Source organism: Homo sapiens, chromosome Y, assembly GCF_000001405.40.
Source record: "Homo sapiens chromosome Y, GRCh38.p14 Primary Assembly".
Classification (NCBI taxonomy): domain Eukaryota; kingdom Metazoa; phylum Chordata; class Mammalia; order Primates; family Hominidae; genus Homo; species Homo sapiens.
In genome coordinates, this window is record NC_000024.10 from 7,499,477 (window position 1) to 7,521,579 (window position 22,103).

The 22,103-nt window shown below is 41.9% G+C and overlaps 1 long non-coding RNA gene across 1 annotated transcript in view; it reads left to right on the forward strand.

Moving 5' to 3' along the window:
- The window catches only part of LOC107987338 (uncharacterized), a 61,978-nt gene extending 40,863 nt beyond the window's left edge, over positions 1-21,115 (forward strand). Inside the window, exons 2-4 of the long non-coding RNA XR_001756055.2 lie at positions 1,533-1,691; positions 19,464-19,572; positions 20,604-21,115. This is a non-coding gene — a long non-coding RNA (uncharacterized LOC107987338). The remainder of the gene's footprint in view (positions 1-1,532; positions 1,692-19,463; positions 19,573-20,603) is intronic.
- Positions 21,116-22,103: the final 988 nt, after the last annotated feature.

The window sequence follows — 22,103 nt, forward strand, 5'->3', positions numbered from 1 at the left end:
TTGGGTTTAGCTGTGTTGCCCAGGCTGCTGTCAAACACCTGGCCTCAACTGATCCTCCTGCCCCAGTCTCTGAAAGTTCTGGGATTATAGGCATGAGCCACCAGGGCTGGACAAGCACATTTTCTGTATCCATTCATCTGCAAATGGACATTGGCATGGTGTCCACATCTCACCTCTTGTAAATAATCTTCAGTGAACGTGAGAGTGCAGATATCTCTTCAACACACTCATTTCAATTATCTTGGATGTATACCCAGAAGTGGGATGGCTGGATTATATGTGTAAGGGTGTTAAACAGACCATGGCTTCTAATACATCACAATCTCAGCCTTGGGACTCAATGAGGGCTCAGGGAAATAAACATTTGTCAAGTATATATGTAACTACATGACGGGTTCTTTCTGCCCACCAAACAGAAAAAAAAAAAAAAAACAATTTGCTGAGACCATTATGTTACAATAAAGCAAGAGCTTAATAGACACAAGGTCAGGTATGCCACATGGGAGATGGAGTTATTACTCAAAAATTGGAGGTTAGGATTTTGTGAAGGTAGTTTGGGAAAGGAGTCTGGGTGGCTAGGCAATGGGTGCCTGCTGCTGATTGATTAGGTCAGAGATGAAATCATAGGGAGTTGAAGCTGTCCTCCCAGGCTAAGTTGTTTCTAGGTGGCACCACAAGAGTGTGGAGCCCTCAATTGGTGGGTCCAGGTGTTGCCATGGGTGTCAGACATGCAAAAACACCTGAAAAGACATCTCAAAAGACCAGTCCTTCAGTTCAGCAACAGTGATGTTATCTGCAGGAGTAATTGGGGAAGTTGCATAGCTTGTGACTTCTGGAATAATGGCTACCAATCATTTCTGTCTGCACTTTAACAGAATTCAGACTCCTCTGGCCTAGCCTGGTGGTCTCTCCTTAGCTTTACAAAGGTGGTTGAGTTTTGCGGAAGTCCTATTATCATTTAAACTATAAGCTAAATGTCTTGCGGGTTGGAGGCTAAAGGCAAGAAGGGTGTTGGCTAGATCAGATCTCCCCCACTGCCATAATTTGTTTCACTGCTATAATTTTTCCAAAGGCAGTTTCAGAAATCTGAGATGTCATTCTCTTTAAAGCTTCTGTCAGGCTTCTGAGCCCAGACTAAGCCATCATATCCCCTGTGAACTGCAAGTATATATCCAGATGGACTGAAGCAACTGAAGATCCACAAAAGAAGTGAAAATAACCTTAACTGACGATATTCCATCATTGTGATTTGTTTCTGCCCCGCCAACTGATCAATCCATGTACTTTGTAGCCTCCCCCACCCTTAAGAAGGTTGTTTGTAATTCTCCCCACTCTTGAGAATGTACTTTGTGAGATCCACTCTCTGCCTGCAAAACATGGCTCCTAACTCCACCACCTATTCCAAAACCTATAAGAACTAATGACAATCCCACCACCCTTTGCTGACTCCTTTTTCGGACTCAGCCTGCCTGCACCCAGGTAAAATAAACAGCCTTGTTGCTCACACAAAGCCTGTTTGGTGGTCTTTTCAGATGGATGTGCATGTCATTTGGTGCCAAAGACCCAGGTCACAGGGATTCCTTCGGGAGACCAGGCCCCTGTCCTCACTCTCACTCCATGAAGGGATCCACCTATGACCTCGAGTCCTTAGACCAACCAGCCCAAGGAACATCTCACCAATCTCAAATTGGGTAAGTGGTATTTTCAATCTCTTCTCCAGCCTCTCTTGCTACCCTTCAGTCTCCCCGTCCTTCCAATTCCAGTTCTTTTTCCTCTCTGTTAGAGACAAAGGAGACACATTTTATCCATGAACCCAAAACTCTGGTGTCAGTCATGGACTGGAAAAGACAGCCGTCCTTGGTGTTTAATCATTGTGGGGACACCTGCCTGATTATTCACCCACACTCTATTGGTGTTTAATCACTGCGGGGAAGTCTACCTGATTATTCACCCACATTCCATTGGTGTCTGGTCACCATGGGGATGACTGCCTTGGTCATTCACCCACATTCCCTTGGTGGCAAGTCAATTGCAAGGATGCCTGCTTTGGCTGCTCACCCACATTGCAGCCCAGGGCTGCTCCCCACCCCTTTTCTGTGTCTCTACCCTTCTCTTTAAACTTGCCTCCTTCACTATGGGCAGCCTTCCACCCTCCATTCCTCCTTCTTCTCCCTTAGTCTGTGTTCTCAAGAACTTAAAACCTCTTCAACTCTCACCTGAGCTAAAATCTAAGCATCTTATTTTCTTCTGCAATATTGCTTGGCCCCAATACAAGCTCAACAGTAGTTCCAAGTGGCCAGAAAATGTCACTTTCAATTTGTCTATCCTACAAGATCTAGATAATTTTTGTCAAAAAATGGGCAAATGGTCAGAGGTGCCTGATGTCCAGGCATTCTTTTACACATTGGTCCCTCCCTAGCCTCTGCTCCCAATATGACTCATCCCAAATCTTTCTTCTTTCTCTCCTTTCTGTTCCTTCAGTCTCCACCCCAAGCTCTGGGTCCTTTGAATCCTTTTCTATGGAATCTTCTGACCTCTCCCCTTGTCCCTGGGCTGCTCCTTGCCAAGCTGAGCCAGGTCCCAATTCTTCCTCAGCCTCTGCTCCCTGACCCTGTAATCTTTCTATCACCTCCCCTCCTCACACCCAGTCTGGCTTACAGTTTTGTTCCATGACTAGCTCTCCCGCACTTGCCCAAAATTTCCTCTTAGAGAAGTGGCTGGAGCTGAAGACATAGTCAGGATACATGTGCCTTTTTCTCTATCAGACCTTTACCAAATCAGCCAGAGTTTAGGCTGTTTCTCATTAGACCCCACTAAATATATACAGGAATTCCGATATCTAACTCTGTCCTACAATTTAACCTGGAGTGACTTAAATGTCATCCTAACTTCTACCCTTTCCCCAGATGAATGGGAAAAAGTTTTTTCTCTAGCCCAATTTCATGCTAATAACCACCAGCTTCATGAGCCAGACCCCTAGGAAGGCATTAGAGCAGTTCCCTGGGAATATCCCCAATGGAACCATCAGGCAGATTCCCCAGGTATAGCTAGGCGAGATTACATGGTTTCCTGCCTAGTTGAAGAGCTTAAAAAGGCAGCTTACAAAGTTGTTAATTATGACAAATTTAAAGAAACTACCCAAAGTAAAGAGGAAAACCCAGCCCAGTTCATGGCCTGCTTAGTTAGCAGCAACCCTTAGACACTTTACCACCCTAGAGCCAGAGGGGTCAGAAGGCCACCTTATTCCTAATATGCATTTTATCACCCAGTCAGCTCCTGACATTAGAAAAAAGCTTCAAAATTTGGAATCCAGCCCTCAAACCCCACAATAGGAATTAGTCAACCTCACCTTCAAGGTGTACAATAACAGAGAGGAGGTAGCCAGACAGCAACACATTTCTGAGTTCAGCTACTTGCCTCCTCTGTAAGACAACCCACAGCCACATCTCAGCATACAAGAACTTCAGAACATGCAAGCCACAGGTCCCAGGCGCTCCTTCAAAACATCCTCATGGACCTTACTTCAAATGTCAAAAGCCTGGCCACTGGGCCTTAGAATGTCTGCAGTCTGGGATTCCTCCTGAGCCACGCCCTCTCTGTGCAGGCTCCCACTGGAGGTCAGACAGTCTGACTCACATCGCCACCACTCGTAAAGTCCCTGGAGCCCAAACCCAATGTTCCTTGGCTGACTCCTTCCCATATCTTATCAGCTTAGTGGCTGAAGACTGATGCTGCCTGATCACCTAGAAAGCCTCCTGGACCATCACGGATGCTTTGGGTAACTCTTACAGTGGAGGGCAAGTCCATCCCTTCTTAATCAATACAGAGGCTACCCACTCCACATTACCTTCTTTTCAAGGGCCTGTTTTGCTTGCCTCCATAACCATTGTGGGTATTCACAGCCACGCTGCTAAACCTCTTACAACTCCCCAACTCTGGTGCCAACTTGGACAACATTCTTTAATGTGATCCTTTTTAGTTATCCCCACCTGCCCAGCTCCCTTATTAGGTCAAGGCATTTTAAGTAAATTATCTGCTTCTCTGACTATTCCTGGGCTACAGCCACACCTCATTGCCACCTATTCCCCCAGTTTAAAGCCTCCTTCACATCCTTTCCTTGTATCTCCCTGCCTTAATCCGCAAGTATAGGACACCTCTACTCCCTCCTTGGTCACAGACGATGCCCTGCTTACCATCCCACTAAAACCTAATCACCCTTACCCCGCTCAACTCCAGTATCCTATCCCATAACAGGCTTTAAGGGGATTAAAGCCTGTTACCACTCACCTGCTACAGCATGGGCTTCTAAAACCTATAAACTCTCCTTAACAATTCTCCCATTTTACCTGTCCAAAAACCAGACAAGACTTACAGGTTAGTTCAGGATCTGTGCCTTATCAACCAAATTGTCTTGCATATCCACTTCATGGTGCCAAACCCATATACTCTCCAACCTCAATACTTCCCTCCACAACCCCTCCATAACCCATTATTCCATTCTGGATCTCAAACATGTTTTCTTTACTATTCCTTTGCACCCTTCATCCCAGCCTCTCTTTGTTTTCACTTAGACTGACCCTGACACCCATCAGGCTCAACAAATTACCTGGGCTTTACTGCCACAGGGCTTCACAAATAGCTCCCATTACTTCAGTCAAGCCCAAATTTCTTCCTCATCCATTACCTATCTTGACATAATCTTCAAGAAAACACACATGCTTTCCCTGCTGATTATGTTCAGCTAACCTCCCAAACCCCAACCACTTCTACAAAGCAACAACTCCTTTCCTTCCTAGGCATGGTTAGATACTCTGACTTTGTACACCTAGTTTTACCATCCTGAGTAAACCATTATATAAACTCATGAAAGCAAACTTAGCTGACCCCATGGATCCTAAATCCTTTCACCACTCCTCTTTCCATTCCTTAAAAACAGCCCTAGAAATTGCCCCCACACTAGCTCTCCCTGACTCATCCGAACACTTCATTACACAAAGCCGAGGTGCAGGGCTGTGCAGTTGGAATTCATACACAAGGACCGGGACCATGCCCTGTAGCCTTTTTGTCCAAACAACTTGACCTTACTGTCTTAGGCTGGCCATCATGTCTCCATGCGGTGGCCACCACCACCCTAATACTTTTAGAGGCCCTCAAAATCACAAACTATACTCAACTTACTCTCTACAGTTCTCAAAACTTCCAAAAGCTATTTTCTTGTCATACCTGACACATATACTTTCTGATCCCTGGATCCTTCAGTTATATTCACTCTTTGTTGAGTCTCCCACAATTACCATTGTTCCTGGCCTGAACTTCAATCTGGCCTTCCACATTATTCCTGATAACACACCTGACCCCCATGACTGTATCTCTCTGATACACCTGGCATTCACTCCATTTCCCCACATTTCCTTCTTTCCTGTTGCTCACCCTGATCACACCTGGTTTATTGATCGCAGTTCCACCAGGCCTAATCACCACTCACTAGCAAAGGCAGGCTATGCTGTAGTATCTTCCACATCTATCATTGCGGCTACTGCTCTGCCCCCTTCCACTACCTCTCAGAAAGCTGAACTCATTGCATTAACTTGGGCCCTCACTCTTGCAAAGGGACTACACATCAATATTTATACTGACCCTAAATATACCTTCCATATCCTGCACCACCATTCTGTTATATGGGCAGAAAGAAATTTCCTCACTATGCAAGGGTCCTCCCTTTTTTTTTTTTTTTTTTTTTTTTTTTTTAGACGGAGTCTCGTTCTGTCGCCCAGGCGGGAGTGCTGTGGCGCGATCTCCGCTCACTGCAAGCCCCGCCTTCCGGGTTCATGCCATTCTCCTGCCTCAGCCTCCCGAGTAGCTGGGACTACAGGCGCCCGCCACTGCGCCCGGCTGATTTTTTGTATTTTTAGTAGAGACGGGGTTTCACCGTGGTCTCGATCTCCTGACCTCATGATCCGCCCGCCTCGGCCTCCCAAAGTGCTGGGATTACAGGCGTGAGCCACCGCGCCCGGCCAAGTGTCCTCCATTATTAATGCCTCTTTAATAAAAACTCTTCTCAAGGTTGCTTTACTGCCAAAGGAAGCTGGAGTCATACACTACACAGGCCACAAAAAGGCATCAGATCCCATTGCTCAGGGGAATGCTTATGCTGATAAGGTAGTTAAAGAAGCAGCGAGCATTCCAACTTCTGTCTCTCATGGCCAGTTTTTCTTCTTCTCTTAGGTCACTCCCACTTACTCTCCCACTGAAACTTCCACCTATCAATCTCTTCCCACACAAGGCAAATGGTTCTTGGACCAAGAAAAATATCTCCTTCCAGTCTCACAGCCCCATTCTATTCTGTCATCATTTCAGAACCTCTTCCATGTAGGTTACAAGCCATTAGACTGCCTCTTAAAACCTCTCATTTCCTTTCCATCATGAATATCTATCCCCAGTCCTCATTCTTGACTCCCTCTTGGAGTGGATAGATGATCTTTGCTGACAGGATACACTCTAACACTTTCACCCTTATGAAGTCTTATTCTTTACTTTTATACTCACTCTTGCTCTCGTTCACATTCTTATGCCATCCTCTACCTCTCCCCAGCTATCTCCACCACACTATCAATCTCACTCACTCCTAGCCATTTCTAATCCTTCTTTAACAAACAATAGCTGGCTTTGCATTTCTCTTTCCTCCAAAATCACTGAGGCCTCAATTTACTCACTGCTGAAAAAGGAGGACTCTGTATATTTTTAAATGAAGAGAGTTGTTTTTACCTAAATCAATCTGGCCTGGTATATGACAACATAAAAAAACTCAAGGATAGAGCCCAAAAACTTGCAAACCAACCAAATAATTATGCAGAATCCCCTTGGGCACTCTCTAATTGGATGTCCTGGGCCCTCCCAATTCTTAGTCCTTTAATACCTGTTTTTCTCCTTCTCTTATTTGAACCTTGTGTTTTCCTTTTAGTTTCTCAATTCACACAAAACGGCATCCAGGCCATCACCAATCATTTTATACAACAAAGGCTTCTTCTAACAATCCCACAATATCACCCCTTACCTGAAAATCTTTCTTCAGTTTAATCTCTCCCACTCTAGGTTCCCATGCCATCCCTAATCCTGCTCAAAGTAGCCCTGAGAAATATCACCCATTATCTCTCCATACCGCGCCCCAACATTTTCACCACCCTAACACTTTACCACTATTTTGTTATTTTTCTTATTAATATAAGAAGACAGGAATGTCAGGCCTCTGAGCCCAGGCTAAGCCATCATATCCCCTGTGACTGGCACTATACATCCAGATGGCCTGAAGCAACTGAAGATCCACAAAAGAAGTGAAAATAGCCTTAACTGATGATATTCCACCATTGTGATTTGTTTTGGCTCCACCCTAACTGATCAATGTACTTTGTCATCTCCCCCACCCTTAAGAAGTTTCTTTATAATTCTCCCCACCCTTGAGAATTGTGAGATCCACTCCCTGCCAGCAAAACATTGCTTTTAATTCCACTGCCCTTCCCAAAACCTGTAAGAACTAATGACAATCCCACCACCCTTTGATGACTACTTTTTCGGACTCAGCCCACCTGTACCCAGGTGAAATAAACAGCCTTACTGCTCACATAAATCCTGTTTGGTGGTCTCTTCACATGGATGCATGTGTCAGCTTCCATTTTTCCATCCTATGATTTCATCATGTTTTCTTCCTATGAGGTGTTAGTTGATCTTTCTTTTCTTTTTTTTTCTTTTTTTTTTTCTTTTGAGACAGGGTCTTTCTCTGTCACCCAGGCTGGGTTGCAGTGGCATGATCAGGGCTCACTGCATCCTCAACCTTCTGGGCTGAAGTGATCCTCCCATCTCAGCCCCACTCCCCAGGTAGCTGGGACTACAGGAGTACACCATCATGCCTGGCTATTTTTTTTTTTAAATTTTATTGCAGAGATGGCAGTCTTGCTATGTTGCCCAGGCTGGTCTTGAACTCCTAAACTCAAGTGATCCTCCTGTCTCAGCCTCCCAACATGCTGGGATTATAGGCATAAGCCACCAAATCTGACTGGTCTTTCTTTAAGCCTCTTTTTGCTTTTATAGTATTTATCAATAGATTTATACCCAAAAGTTAACTATTCTCTATTTTACTAAAAATCATGTCATGGAATGCTTCTTAATACTGTTTCCCTAATTTGCTTTTAGTACTTATTGCTCATAAAAGCATTCCTGACTTTAATCACCTTTTTTTCCCATCTTCCGTAAATGGCTTACTTCACAATGTTTCCTTCCAAAATGACTTCAATATCGCCTCTAACAGGATAACTTGTAAACCTAAATCTCTAGCCCTATCAATTTTTCTACGTACAAACCCACATTTGAACACAATTATTTGCTGCTATTGTTACATAATAGCCAATCTTACTTATCAATTGAAGTTGATCTTCTTGATCAATAATGCAAGGTGATACATTATGGGATTTGGGGGATAGGAGTATAAATGAAACAATAAAACATTTCCAAAGACAAAGTACATTACCAGCTAATTTCAGTAATTTACATATTAGTTCATCTCTCTCCAATAAATATTACATTATTTTTTAAAAAACACATGAGAGGGAATGCCTTATACTCTTTTGCAGCACTGTTGAGTCTATCATGATTTCAAAATTCAAAGTTGAAAAATGTTTACAGAGTAAGCGGATTAAAGACAGGGAAAAAATCCATTTAGAGTTCCTCTTATGCTCGGAAATTAAGTAATAGAACTATACACGTGTCACTACAGTTGGAAAAAGCTTTAGAGATGATCTGGTCCAGACGAGGAAATTGAGACCAAGAGGGTTTTATTATCATTATATAAGTTCAAATGCCTCAGAATTGGTAGAAAAATCAGTTTCTTATTTTTGTTTTTTAAGATGAGGGTCTCAGTCTGTCACCCAGATTGGAGTGCAGTGGTGCAGTCACAGCTCACTGCAGCCTCGACCTCCCAGGCTCAAGCGATCCTCCCACCTCAGCCTCCCGAGTGGCTGGGACTACAGGTGCACAACACCATGCCAAGCTAATTTCTGTATTTTTAGTAGAGACTGGGTGTTGTCTTGTTGCCCAGACTGGTCTTGGACTCCTGGGCTCAAGCAATCCTCCCACCTCAGCCTCCCAAATTGCTGGGATTATAGGTGCGATCCATGGTTCCCAGCCAAAAAATTAGCTCTTGACAGTCTCTTAGATATGAGGCATAGATCTTTACTTACTTAATAACAGATAATGATTGGCAATGTGTTTATACAAGTTAGAATCTGATAATTCAAATGATGCCTTTATTTTAGTTTTTATTTTTTATGTATTGGAGCTAAAAATTTTATGAAAAGTTGGGATGGGTGATAATTAGCCAGACCCCATAACATCTAATTTTTTAGGGTATGCATCAGACAAATGGCACAGAGACCAAGGGGAAAGTAGAGAGGTCAGCACAGAGACTGGGTGGAAAAATAAAATTTTCAAGAAACTATAGACAGTCCTGCTCTTGTTAGGAGTGTTCATCCTGAAACAAGTTCCCAAGTTAGGATGCCAGCAATTCTGAGCAATAAAGACACCATGTGGAAATTAAAACTCCTATAGATGGTGCATGTCCCAGAGGAAAACCACAAGGTTATCATAATTGACAGATCTTTAATTCTATCACTGTTGTTGCTAAAACTTTAGTGTGGCATTTGTAAACCAAAAATACAGTTCTAAGGCTCCCCTAAGAACTGAATGGACTTTCTCCTCCAGGGCACTTTAAAATGTAACCCAGGCTGGGTGCGGTGGCTCAAGCCTGTAATCCCAGCACTTTGGGAGGCTAAGGCGGATGGATCACTTGAGGTCAGGAGTTCAAGACCAGTCTGGCCAACATGATGAAACCCTATTTCTACTGAAAATACAAAAATTAGCCAGGTGTATGGTGCCTGTAATCCAAGCTACTGAGGAAGCTGAAGCAGGAGAATCGCTTGAACCTGGAAGGTGGAGGTTGCAGTGAGCCAAGATCATGCCATTGCACTCCAGCCTGGGCAACAGAGTGATACAACATCTCAAAATAAATAAATAAATTAATTAATTAAAATAAAATTTAACCTGGAAGATTGGTTCAAGCCATGATGAAAAGTGGAGTTGCACGTGCCTCATTAGAGCCCTCCATCATTAACATCAAAACAGACCTTACTTCTGATAAGAAACATTTACAATCTATTCTCTCTGAAGCCTGCTACCTGGGGGCTTCATCTGCATGATAGAACTTCAGTCTCTCATCCCCTATCTTAATCTAGATATTTCCTTTCTATTGACCCCAGGTCTTTAGATAAACTCAACCAATTGCCAGTCAGAAAAACATTAAATCCATCTATAACCTGAATCCTAGCCCCCTGACTCCCAGCCTGAATCAAGTTGTCCCACCTCTCTGGGTACAACCTTAAATGTATTTGACCAAAGTCTCATTTCTCCCTAAAATGTATAAAACCAAGTTGTGCCCCAATCACCTTGGGCACATGATCTCAGGAGATCCTGAGGGCTGTGTTATGGGTCATGGTCATGTGTGCTCAAAATAAATCTCTTCAAATAATTTTCCAGAGTTTGACAGTTTTTGTTGACATATTTTTGAAAAATGTGTTGTTATATAATTTTCCGCTGCTTGAAAATATGCTCCAGTTGCCACTGAGTTAATGATTCTCTAGTTGCATATTTCTCTGCTCCCAATTCCCTCAACCACATGATTCCACCAGTGAACACACTTAACCCAGCTTTATTAAAAATCTGTGATCATAGATGTGTGGTGTTATTTCTGAGGCTTCTGTTCTGTTCCATTGGTCTCTATATTTGTTTTGGTATCAGTACCATGCTGTTTTGGTTACAGTACCCTTGTAGTATAATTTGAAGTCAGGTAGCATGATGCCTCCAGCTTTGTTCTTTTTGCTTAGGATTTTCTTGGCTATGTGGGCTCTTTTTTGGTTCCATATGAACTTTAAAGTAGTTTTTTCCAATTCTGTGAAGAAAGCCCATGGTAGCTCGATGAGGGTAGCATTGAATCTATAAATTACTTTGGGCAATATGGCCATTTTCACGATATTGATTGTTCCTATCCATGAATATGGAATGTTTTTCCATTTGTTTTCATCCTCTCTTATTTTCTCGAACAGTGGTTCGTAGTTCTCCTTGAAGAGGTCCTTCCCAACCCTTACAAGTTGGATTCCTAGGTATTTTATTCTCTGTAGAAATTGTGAATGGGAATTAACTCATGATTTGGCTCTCTGTTTGTTATTGATGTATAGGAGTGCTTGTGATTTTTGCACATTGATGTTGTATCCTGAGACTTTCTGAAGTTGCTCATCAGCTTAAGGAGATTTTGGGCTGAGATGATGGGGTTTTCTAAACATACAATCATGTCATCTGCAAACAGAGATAATTTGACTTCCTCTTTTCCTACTTGAATATGATTTATTTATTTCTTTTCCTGATTGCCCTAGCCAGAAGTTCCAATACTATGTCAAATAGGAGTTGTGAGAGAGGGCATCCTTGTCGTGTGGGGGTTTGCAAAGGGAATCCTTCCAGTTTTTGCCCATTCAGTATGATATTGGCTGTGGGTTTGTCATAAACAGCTCTTATGATTTTGAGATACATTCCATTGATACCTAGTTTATTGAGAGCTTTTAGCATGAAGGGCTGTTGAATTTTTGTCAAAGGCCTTTTCCGCTTCTATTGAGATTATTATGCAGTTTTTGTCATTGGTTCTGTTTAGGTGACGAATTACATTTCTTGATTTGTGTATGTTGAACCAGCCTTACATCCCAGAGATGAAGCTGACCTCATCATGATGAATATGCTTTTTGATATGCTCCTGGATTCAGTTTGCCAGTAGTTTATTAAGGATTTTTTGCATTATTGTTCATCAGGGATTCTGGCCTGAAATTGTCTTTTTTTGTTGTGTCTCTGCCAGGTTTTAGTATCAGGATGATGCTGGCCTCATAAAATGAGTTAGGGAGGATGTCCTTTTTTCTATTGTTTGGAAAAGTTTCAGAAGGAATAGTACCAGCTCCTTTTTGTACCTCTGGTAGAATTCAGCTGTGAATCCGTCTGATCCTGGACTTTTTTTTTTTGATTGGTAGGCTATTAATTACTACCTCATTTTCAGATCTTGTTATTGGTCTATTCAGGGATTCAGCTTCTTCCTGGTTTAGACTTGGAAGGCTGCATGTGTCCAGGAATTTATCCAATTCTTGTAGATTTTCTAGTTTATTTGTGTAGAGGTGTTTATAGTATTCTCTGATTGTAGTTTGTATTTCTGTGGCATTAGTGGTGAGGATATCCCCTTTATCATTTTTTATTGTGTTTATTTGATTCCTGTCTCTTGTCTTCTTTATTAGTCTGGCTAGCAATGTATCTATTTTTTTGATCTTTTCAAAAAACCCTCTTGATCTTTGACAAGGCTGACACAAAGAAGCAATGGGGAAAGGATTCCCTATTTAATAAATGGTGTTGGGAAAACTGGCTAGCCATATGCAGAAAACTGAAACTGGACCCCTTCCTTACACCTTATACAAAAATTAACTCAAGATGAATTAAAGACTTAAATGTAAGACCTAAAGGAATAAAAATCCTAAAAGAAAACCTAAGCAATACAGTTCAGGACATAGGCATGGGCAAAGGGTTTATGATTAAAACACCAAAACAATTGCAACAAATGGGATCTAATTAAACTAAGGAATTCTGCACAGAAAAAGAAAACAATCATCAGAGTGAACAGGAAACCTAAAGAATGGGAGAATAATTCTGCAATCTATCCACCTGACAAAAGGCTAATATCCAGAAACTACAAAGAACTTAAACAAATTTACAAGAAAAAAAAAAGACCCCATCAAAAAGTTGGCAAAACATATGAACAGACTCTTCTCTAATGAAAACATTTACGCAACCAACAAACATTTGAAAGAAAGGTTATCATCACTGGCCATTAGAGAAATGCAAATCAAAACCACGATGAGATACCATCTCATGCTAGTTAGAATGGCAATCATTAAAAAGTCAGAAAATGGCCAGGTGTGGTGGCTCATGCCTGTAATCCCAGCACTTTGAGAGGCCTAGGCAGGTGTATCATGAGGTCAGGAGATTGAGACCATCCTGCCTAATGCAGTGAATGTAGGGAAGAGGCCCCCCAAAATCTGGCTATAAACGGGCCCCAAAACTGGCCATAAACAAAATCTTTGCAGCACTCTGACATGCTCATGATGGTCATTACACTCATGCCAGAAGATTGTGGGTTTACTGGAATTAGGGCAAGGAACACCTGGCCCACCCAGGGTGGAACACTGCTTAAAGACATTCTTAAACCAAAAACAATAGCATGAGCTATCTGTACCTTAAGGGCATGTTCCTGCTGCAGATAACTAGCTAGACCCATCCCTTTATTTCAGCCCATCCCTTTGTTTCCCATAAGGGATACTTTTAGTTAATTGAATATCTATAGAAACAATGCTAATGACTGGCTTGCTGTTAATAAATACGTGGGTAAATCTCTGTTTGGGGCTCTCAGCTCTGAAGGCTGTGAGACTTCTGATTTCCCATGTTACACCTCTATATTTCTGTGTGTGTGTCTTTAATTCCTCTAGTGCTGCTAGGTTAGGGTCTCCCCAACCAAGCTGGCCTCTTCAGTGAAACCCCATCTCTACTAAAAATACAAAAAATTAGCTGGACATGGTTGCAGGCTCCTGTAGTCCTGTCTACTCGGGAGGCTGAGGCAGGGGAATGGTAAGCGGGATGGCGTATGGAACCTGGGGAATGGAACCTGGGTAATGGAACCTGGGAGGTGGAGCTTGCAGTGAGTCAAGATTGTGCCACTGCACTCCAGCCTGGGTGACAGCATGAGACTCCATCTCAAAAAAAAAAAGTCAGGAAACAACAGATGCTGGAGAGCATGTGGAGAAATAGGAATGCTTTTACACTGTTGGTGGGAGTATAAATTAGTTCAATCATTGTGGAAGACGTGTGGTGATTCCTCAAGGATCTAGAACTAGAAATACCATTTGACCCAGCAATATCATTCCTGGGTATATACCCAAAGGATTATAAATCATTCTACTATAAAGACACTATAAAGACACATGCACCCATATGTTTATTGCAGCACTCTTCACAATAGCAAAGATTTGGAACCAACCCAAATGTCCATCAATGATAGATTGGAGAAACAAAATGTGGCATATATACACCATGGAATACTACACAGCCACAAAAAATGATGAGTTCATGTCCTTTGCAGGGACATGGATGAAGCTGGAAACCATTGTTCTCAGCTAACTAACACAAGAACAGAAAACCAAACACTGCATGTTTTCACTCATAAGTGGAAGTTGAACAATGAGAACACATGGACACAGGGAAGGGAACATCACACATAGGGGCCTGTTTTGGGGTTGGGAGCTAAGGGAAGGATAGTAGGTGACAGGTTGATGGGTGCAGCAAACTGCTGTGGCACATGTATAACTACGTAAGAAAACTGCACATTCTGCACATGTACCCCAGAACTTAAAGTATAAAAAAAAACTACGGTCGTGGAGGCTGAGTTGACATTAAGTGCTTTGTAAACATTTTCCTTGAAAGGAGAACCCCTCACCTCAGAATGTCTGGAATCCATTCTTTAAGGGGAGCATTTCATGAGTGAAGTGACATATATGTCACTTTCATGGGAAGAGGGAAGATTCTGAAAATATTTCAAGAACATATTTAAATATTTAAACCACAGCAAATTGGTGTGGTTTTCTACTCTGCTGGAAGGACAAAGAGTCATAGCTGACCCAAACAAAACAAAACAAAACAAAACAAAACCATACACGTGTGCATACAAAGAATCGTTCTTGGCTGGGCATGGTGGCTCATGCCTGTAATCCCAGAACTTTGGGTGGCCAAGGCAGGTGGATCACGAGGTCAGGAGATCGAGACCATCTTGGCTAACATGGTGAAAACCCATTCTACTAAAAATACAAAAAATTAGCCTGATGTGGTGGTGGGTGCCTGTAGTCCCAGCTACTCAGGAGGCTGAGGCAGGAGAATGGCAGGAACCTGGGAGGCAACTCTTGCAGTGAACCAAGATCATGCCACTGCTCTTCAGCCTGGGTGACAGAGCGAGACTCTTTCTCAAAAAAAAAAAGAATCATTTTCTAGAAAAAATGCATTGCATATGCTAAATCTTCTAGCATTGAAGAGAATACTTGCAAAGCCTGTACATTATTCCAGAGTTAACATCCATGACAGGGATTGAGTATCATGGTCCCTATCAAGTTAATTACTAAAGGATGCTTAACAGCAGAGAGGGAGGGCCACAAATTACTCCTCATCTGCACCATCTGTCACAGGGAATCAATATTTTTATGATGATGACATATTCACCATTAATGCATGGAATACTCTATACCAAAAACTTGTGCAATTATGTCTTTAATCACCATTCAAGATCATACTTATCCTAAATTGTGTTCCGTAGGCATTTCTCAGCCATCTCTCTCTTTTCTGTTGATCAAAGGCCAATGTGAGATAATTCCTAAAAGAACTCTAAAATCTCCAGGACATAACACCAGCATTGCTCAGATCACATTGTCTTGTGATTTCCAGCTTAATTAGTTGTGTGTTCTCTACTCAATGAAGACTGAGAAGTGTTTGACCACAGGGATGTTGCATCACACATATTTGTGCTGATAATTACTTTATATAGAAATATATTCAGATATTTTTTCATACCCTGTGAATGCTCTTTCGCTCAGGGCTTAGAATGCATGAAGGCAAAGAATTCCACAGCTTCAAGAGATGGATGGACACTTACTTAGAAAAAAGCAACATTCTTCTGCTTTGACTCTTGAATTATTATCATGGTTTTTGGTTTGAACCCTTTTTAAGATGGTTGGCTTGAAAGCCAGCATTTGTAGAGGGAAAAAATGTAGAATATCTTTGTGTATATTGAGACAAATGTTCAGGGAACTGATCCATACATTTCTTTAATCTTTGAAACTTTTAAGAACTTTAGAGAAATTAACCATTTAAATTTGAGATAGTTTTAGATTCACACACAGTTGTAAGAAATAACACAGGGATTTGGGAGGCCACAGCTGGTGGATTATTTGAAGTCAAGAGTTTGAGACAAACCTGGCCAAGGTGGTGAAACCACATCTCTACTAAAAACACAAAAAAATTACCTGATTGTGATGGCAGGTTCCTGCAATCCCAGCTACTTGGGAGGCTGAGGCAGGAGAATCACTTGAGCCTGGGAGATGGGGTTGTGGTGAGCTGAGATCATACCACTGCACTCCAGTCTGGGCAACAGAGTGAAACCCTGTCTCAAAAAAAAAAAAAAAAAAAAAAAAGGGAAGAAAAAGAAAATGAAATAACACAGGGAGATCCCTTGTACTCTTTACTTTTCCCCCAGGGGTAATGTCTTGCAAAACTGTTACCAAAAAGGAGTCTCAATCCAGACCCCCAAGAGAGGATTCTTGGATCTTGTGCAAGAAAGAATTCAAGACAAATCCATAAAATGACAGCAAGTTGATTAAGAAAGTGAAAGAATAAAAGAATGGGTATTCCATAGGCGGAGCAGCCCCGAGGGCTGCTGGTTGGCTACTTTTATGGTTATTTCCTTATTATATGGTAAGCAAGGGGTGGATTATTCATGAGTTTTCTGGGAAAGGGGTGGGCAATTCCCAGAACTGAGGGTTTCTCCCCTTTTTAGACCATACAGGGTAACTTCCAGACGTTGCCATGGCATCTGTAAACTCTCGTGGTGCTAGTGGAAGTGGCTTTTAGCAGCTAATGCATTATAATTAGTGTATAATGAGCAGTGAGGACAATCAGAAGTCACTCTTGTCACCATCTTGGTTTTAGTGTGTTTTGGCTGGCTTCTTTACCACAAACTGTTTTATCAGCAAGGTCTTTATGACCTGTATCTTGTGCCGACCTCCTATCTCATCCTGTGATTAAGAAAGCCTAACCTGGGAATGCAGCCCAGCATGTCTCAGCATCGTGTTACCCAGCCCCTATTCAAGATAAAGTCACTCTGGTTTGAAGGGCTCTGATAAAACTACAGTACAATCTCACACCAGGATATTGACCTCGGTACAGTCAAGGGACAGAACATTTCCATCACCACAAGATCTACCATGTTGTCCTTCCAATATAACCACATACACTGCCATGCTTGATGACAGGCTTTAGGACCCAATGAATGAGGCAAAAAATCCCACTTCTCAGAGCCAGCTGAGCTCAGATAAATGTTTGCAAGAGATTGCTCCAACACTTGTGCTTATAGGGGATGGCATTGACTTTGGGTTTGATATCTGTCTTAGTTTGGGCTGCTACAACAAAAGGCCTTAGCCTATAATATGGTTTGGCTGTGTCCCCACCCAACTCTCATCTTGAATTGGAGCTCCCACAATTCCCAGGTGTCATGGGAAGGAGTCGGTGGGGCAGGAGGTAATTGAATCATGTGGCTGGTTCTTTCCTGTGCTGTTCTCATGGTAGTGAATAAGTCTCACAACTTCTGATAGTTTTCTAAGGAGGAGTTTCCCTGTTCAATCTTACTTCTTGTCTGTGGCCAAGTAAGATATCCCTTGATCTTTCATCATGATTGTGAGGCCTCCTCAGCCATGTGGAGCTTTGAGTCAATTAAACCTCTTTCCTTCATAAATTACCTAGTTTTGGGTATGCCTTTATTAGCAGCATGAGAGCAGACTAATACAGCCTGAGTGGCTTACAAACAACAGGCATTTATTGCTCACAGCTCTGGAGGCTGGAAGTCCAAGGTCAAGGCATGGCAAATTTAGTGTCTGGTGAGGACTCACTCTCTGCTTCCAAGATTGTGCTTTCTTGCTGCATCTTTACACTGTGGAAGGGAGTCTCTTTTATAAGGGCACTAATCCCATTCATAAGGCTGGAGTCCTCATGATTTAACCCTTTCTCGTAGGCTTCACCTTTCTGTACTATCATATTGCAGATTTGTATTAGTCAGGATTCTCTAGAGGGACAGATAGATGTGGTTATGAAAGGAGTTTATTAAAAAGTGTTGACTTACATGATCACAAGGTGAAGTCCCACAAAAGGCCATCTGCAAGCGGAGGAGCAAAAGAGCCAGTTCGAGTCCCAAAACCCCCAAAAGTAGGTAGCCAATGGTGCAGCCTTGAGTCTGTTCCCAAAGGCCTGAAAGTGCCTGGCAAACCACTCGTGTAAGTCCAGGAGTCCAAAAGCTGAAGAACTTGGAGTCTGATGTTTGAGGGCAGGTAGCATCCAGTACCATAGAAAGATGGAGGCTGGAAGACTCAGCCAGTCTAGTCTTTCCTTGTTCCTCTGCCTGCTTTTATTCCGGCTGTGCTGGCAGCTGATTAAATTGTGCCCACCCAGATTGAGGGTGAGTCTGCTCTCCCAGTCCACTGACTCAAATATTAATCTCTTTTGGCGATGCCCTCACAGTCACACCCAGAACAATGGTTTGCATCCTTCAATCCAATCAAGTTGACACTCACTATTAACCATCACAGGATTCAATTGCAACATGTGCATTTGGAAGAGGACACAGACATTCAGACTGTAGCAATATCACTGCAGGAATGTTCAATCGCTTCCTTTTCCCTTTATCAGTCAGAGAACAAGGGGATCTGGAAGGCTACAGAGCTTGACATGCAAGGCAGCAAAACACCCCCAAGGTACAACACACTCATGAGCTCCATTACCTTATGGGCCACAAGCCCTGTGGACCTAGAGCTGGTGGTGGTAGGCAGGTTATCATGAAGAGCTTGTCTTCCCTCTTAGATTCCATAATCAAGGCTTGGCTTACACCTCTTGGGTTGTGCAAGATGCAGCAGTGGAAATTAGCTGGGACCAGGGGTGTTCAATGTCTTTGGAGTAAGAGCTCCAGTCTTGAAGGGGTGGAGGGTGTGGGGGCCTCATATGTTCACTTGAATGTGGATCTGTTTGGTGAGTGGGATCTGCAGCAGCAGCAAACACAGAATGTGCAGGAGAAGCATGGATATGATGTCACCAAAGGGGCTGGCACCAACCATGTGCTTACGGATTCATTCTAAAGCCACCTGCATGCTGGAGCCCTTTCTTTGGTGTGAATTGCTCATGTCTGGGGTATGTGCCTTAGGGCTGGCTCTGTCTTCAGGAATATCCCCACTCCACATTTAGCTTCTCTATGTATCCCTCAGGCTGCCACCATTCTCCATGTGACAGTTGTCACAGCCTGGGCCATGCCATTGCTTAGCTCATTTCTGGAGAAGTCAAATGAAAGCATTGGCCCTTCACTTTCATTCCTGAGGAGGACAGATGAATTTTAGTGCAGATTTTCTGATGCTCTAATAACTCAGAGATGTTCATGAATCAGCACAACATTCCTACTGGAGAGGTTGCTTTGTATTTGAAGGATCACTTCTCAATTCAGTGACATTTTTCTTCGGGTCCATCCTGCATATTTGCAACAGGTCCGGCCCAGAGGGGAAATGGAAAGAAGTCAGGATCCAGAACAGTAAGGTCTGCAGATGTCTGGGCAGTTTGCTGGAACACAACTGGGGTTATATCTGCAAATGCTAGGTAAGAGCTATCCCTCTGGCCAAGCTCAACCAAAGTGCCTGAGCTTGGTCTCTCATGGTTCAGCACAGGTGCACATCCAAGCACTGGTAGAATGGTGACGTTTTACCCCTTTTCCACCAATTCCTGGAATTGGGATAATTCTAAGAATTTTTTATTCAAACATTGGGGCTTATACTCACCAATCTTTGTTTATCCTTCCTCCTACCCACATGCCCTTTCTAGCCTCTGACATCTGTCATATTGCTCTCTATCTCCATGGGGTCATTTTTTTTCTTTTCTTTCTTTCTCTTTTTCTTTCTTTCTTCTATTTTTTTTTTTTTTTTTTTTTTGAGACAGGATCTTGCTCTGTCACCCAGGCTGGAGGGCAGTGGGATGATCACTGCTCACTGCAACCCTTCACTTCTCCAAGGCTTAGGTGATCCTCCCATGATGAGGTCAATTTTTAAAGCTACTACATAAGAGTAAAAACAAGAACCACCTGTCTTGCAGAGTGGGGTGACTATAGTTAGTAATAATGTATTGTGTATTTCAAAGTAGCTAGGAAAAGAGATGACATGTTACCAACATAGGGCTGGGCCCAGTGGCCCACACCTGTAATCCCAGCCTTTTGAGAAGCTGTTGGGGGAGGATCCCTTGAGCTTAGGAGTTCAAGACCAACTTGAGCAACATAGCAAGACCCTCATCTCTACACATTTTTTTTAATTAGCTGGGTGTGGTGGTGCACACCTGCAGTTCCAGCTACTTAGGAGGCTGAGGCAAGAGGATCACTTGAGCCCAGGAGGTAGAGGCTGCAGTGAGCTATGACTGCACCACTGCACTCCAGCCTGGGCAACAAAGTGAGACACTATCTGAAAGAAAAAAAAAAAGAAAAGAAATTAAAAATACTACACATGATGGATACCCCAAATAATCCAATTTAATCATTATACATCAATTAAAAAAATCAAAAAAATTTGAACTTGGCTTTTCAAACATGAAAAACATGTGAGCCTTGAACCCTTTTATTGACTTTGTTTCTTGTAACCTTGCAGAGCCCATCTACACACAGCAAAATATCTCACAATGAATTCCCATCCACAGCCTCAGCAATGGGCTGGTGTGTCCCCAGAGAATGTCAGCTGATTGGACAGCAGTCTGCAGGAGAAGGTGAATCCCCTAATTTGGAAGGAACTGAAGCATGAAAAGATGCTGAGATCACAATGAAAACAGACAAAGTCTTCTGGGGATGAAATGTTAAAAAGGGGAGATGTGCAAGGAACACAGGAAGAATAAGTTCAGGAGATCTGTTATACAACATGGGGATGATAGTTAATAACAATGCATGGTACATTTGGGGATTGCTAAAGGAACACCTTGTAAAGATTTCCACCCTTCCTCTTGAATGATAAGTATGAAATGTGACGGATATATTTCTTAGCTTGATGTAGCTGTTCCACCGTGTGTGCATATATCAAAACATCACGTTGTATCCCATAAATGTATATCGTTTAAATTTGTTAATTAAAATAATAAATAATAAAGAACAATGGGATTTTTGAAATAATCAAGTGTATTTGTAAATATATGGGTATATATGTATATGTACTTATGTATTTGTAAATTACATGTATGTATACTTACATGAATATATCAGTATAAACACACATGTACATACATATGGACAAATACATATATGTGTATAATGTGTGTACATACATATTTATAAATATGCATGCAAATATATTTATATAAGTATATAAACATGTAAGTATTAACATATGTACATGTTTATGTGCAAATATACATGTGTAAATATGTATCTATGTAAACATATGTATTTCAGAATATATTGATACATTATCTTAAGTATATATACACATATACTTACAAATACTCATGTCTAAATGTGCAAATATATATGTATTTGTAAATATATGTATATACACTTATATAGCATATAAACATACAAGTATATATACCTATATACTTAGAAATACACATGTGTAGATACGTACACATACCTATATACTTGTAAACATATGTATATATACTTAAATGATCATATAAACATATGACTATATATACACTTATGCACATATATATTTACAAATACATGCGTGTGTCTGTGTATACATATTTGTGTGTACACACACCCATATTTGTTGAAATAACCAAATAACCCAAAGGATTACTTGAATCAAAAAAGCAATTCAGAGTCCAGGAGATAATTCCAAGCTCCAAGAAGTTCTGACATGGCAAATATGAAAATGAGTTTCAAAGCCACAGAACAAAGGAGGTGGTGTCGCCAAAACTTTTACTCAATGCCCCTAAGGGCTGTTTGGAGAGGGCAGGGCTTAGCCATATTTAAACAAACAATGGTTGATTATTTTCTCAGATCCTTCACAGAATTTCTTTCTTCAAGTCAAAGAGTACAAGTAAAAGCCAATACACAACACTCGGGAAAAATATGGGAGCCCCCAAAACAAAGAAAAATCCTTTAAATAGCCAGACAAGTGGCCCCCAGACATCCTTCATGACCTGAACAAGACAAA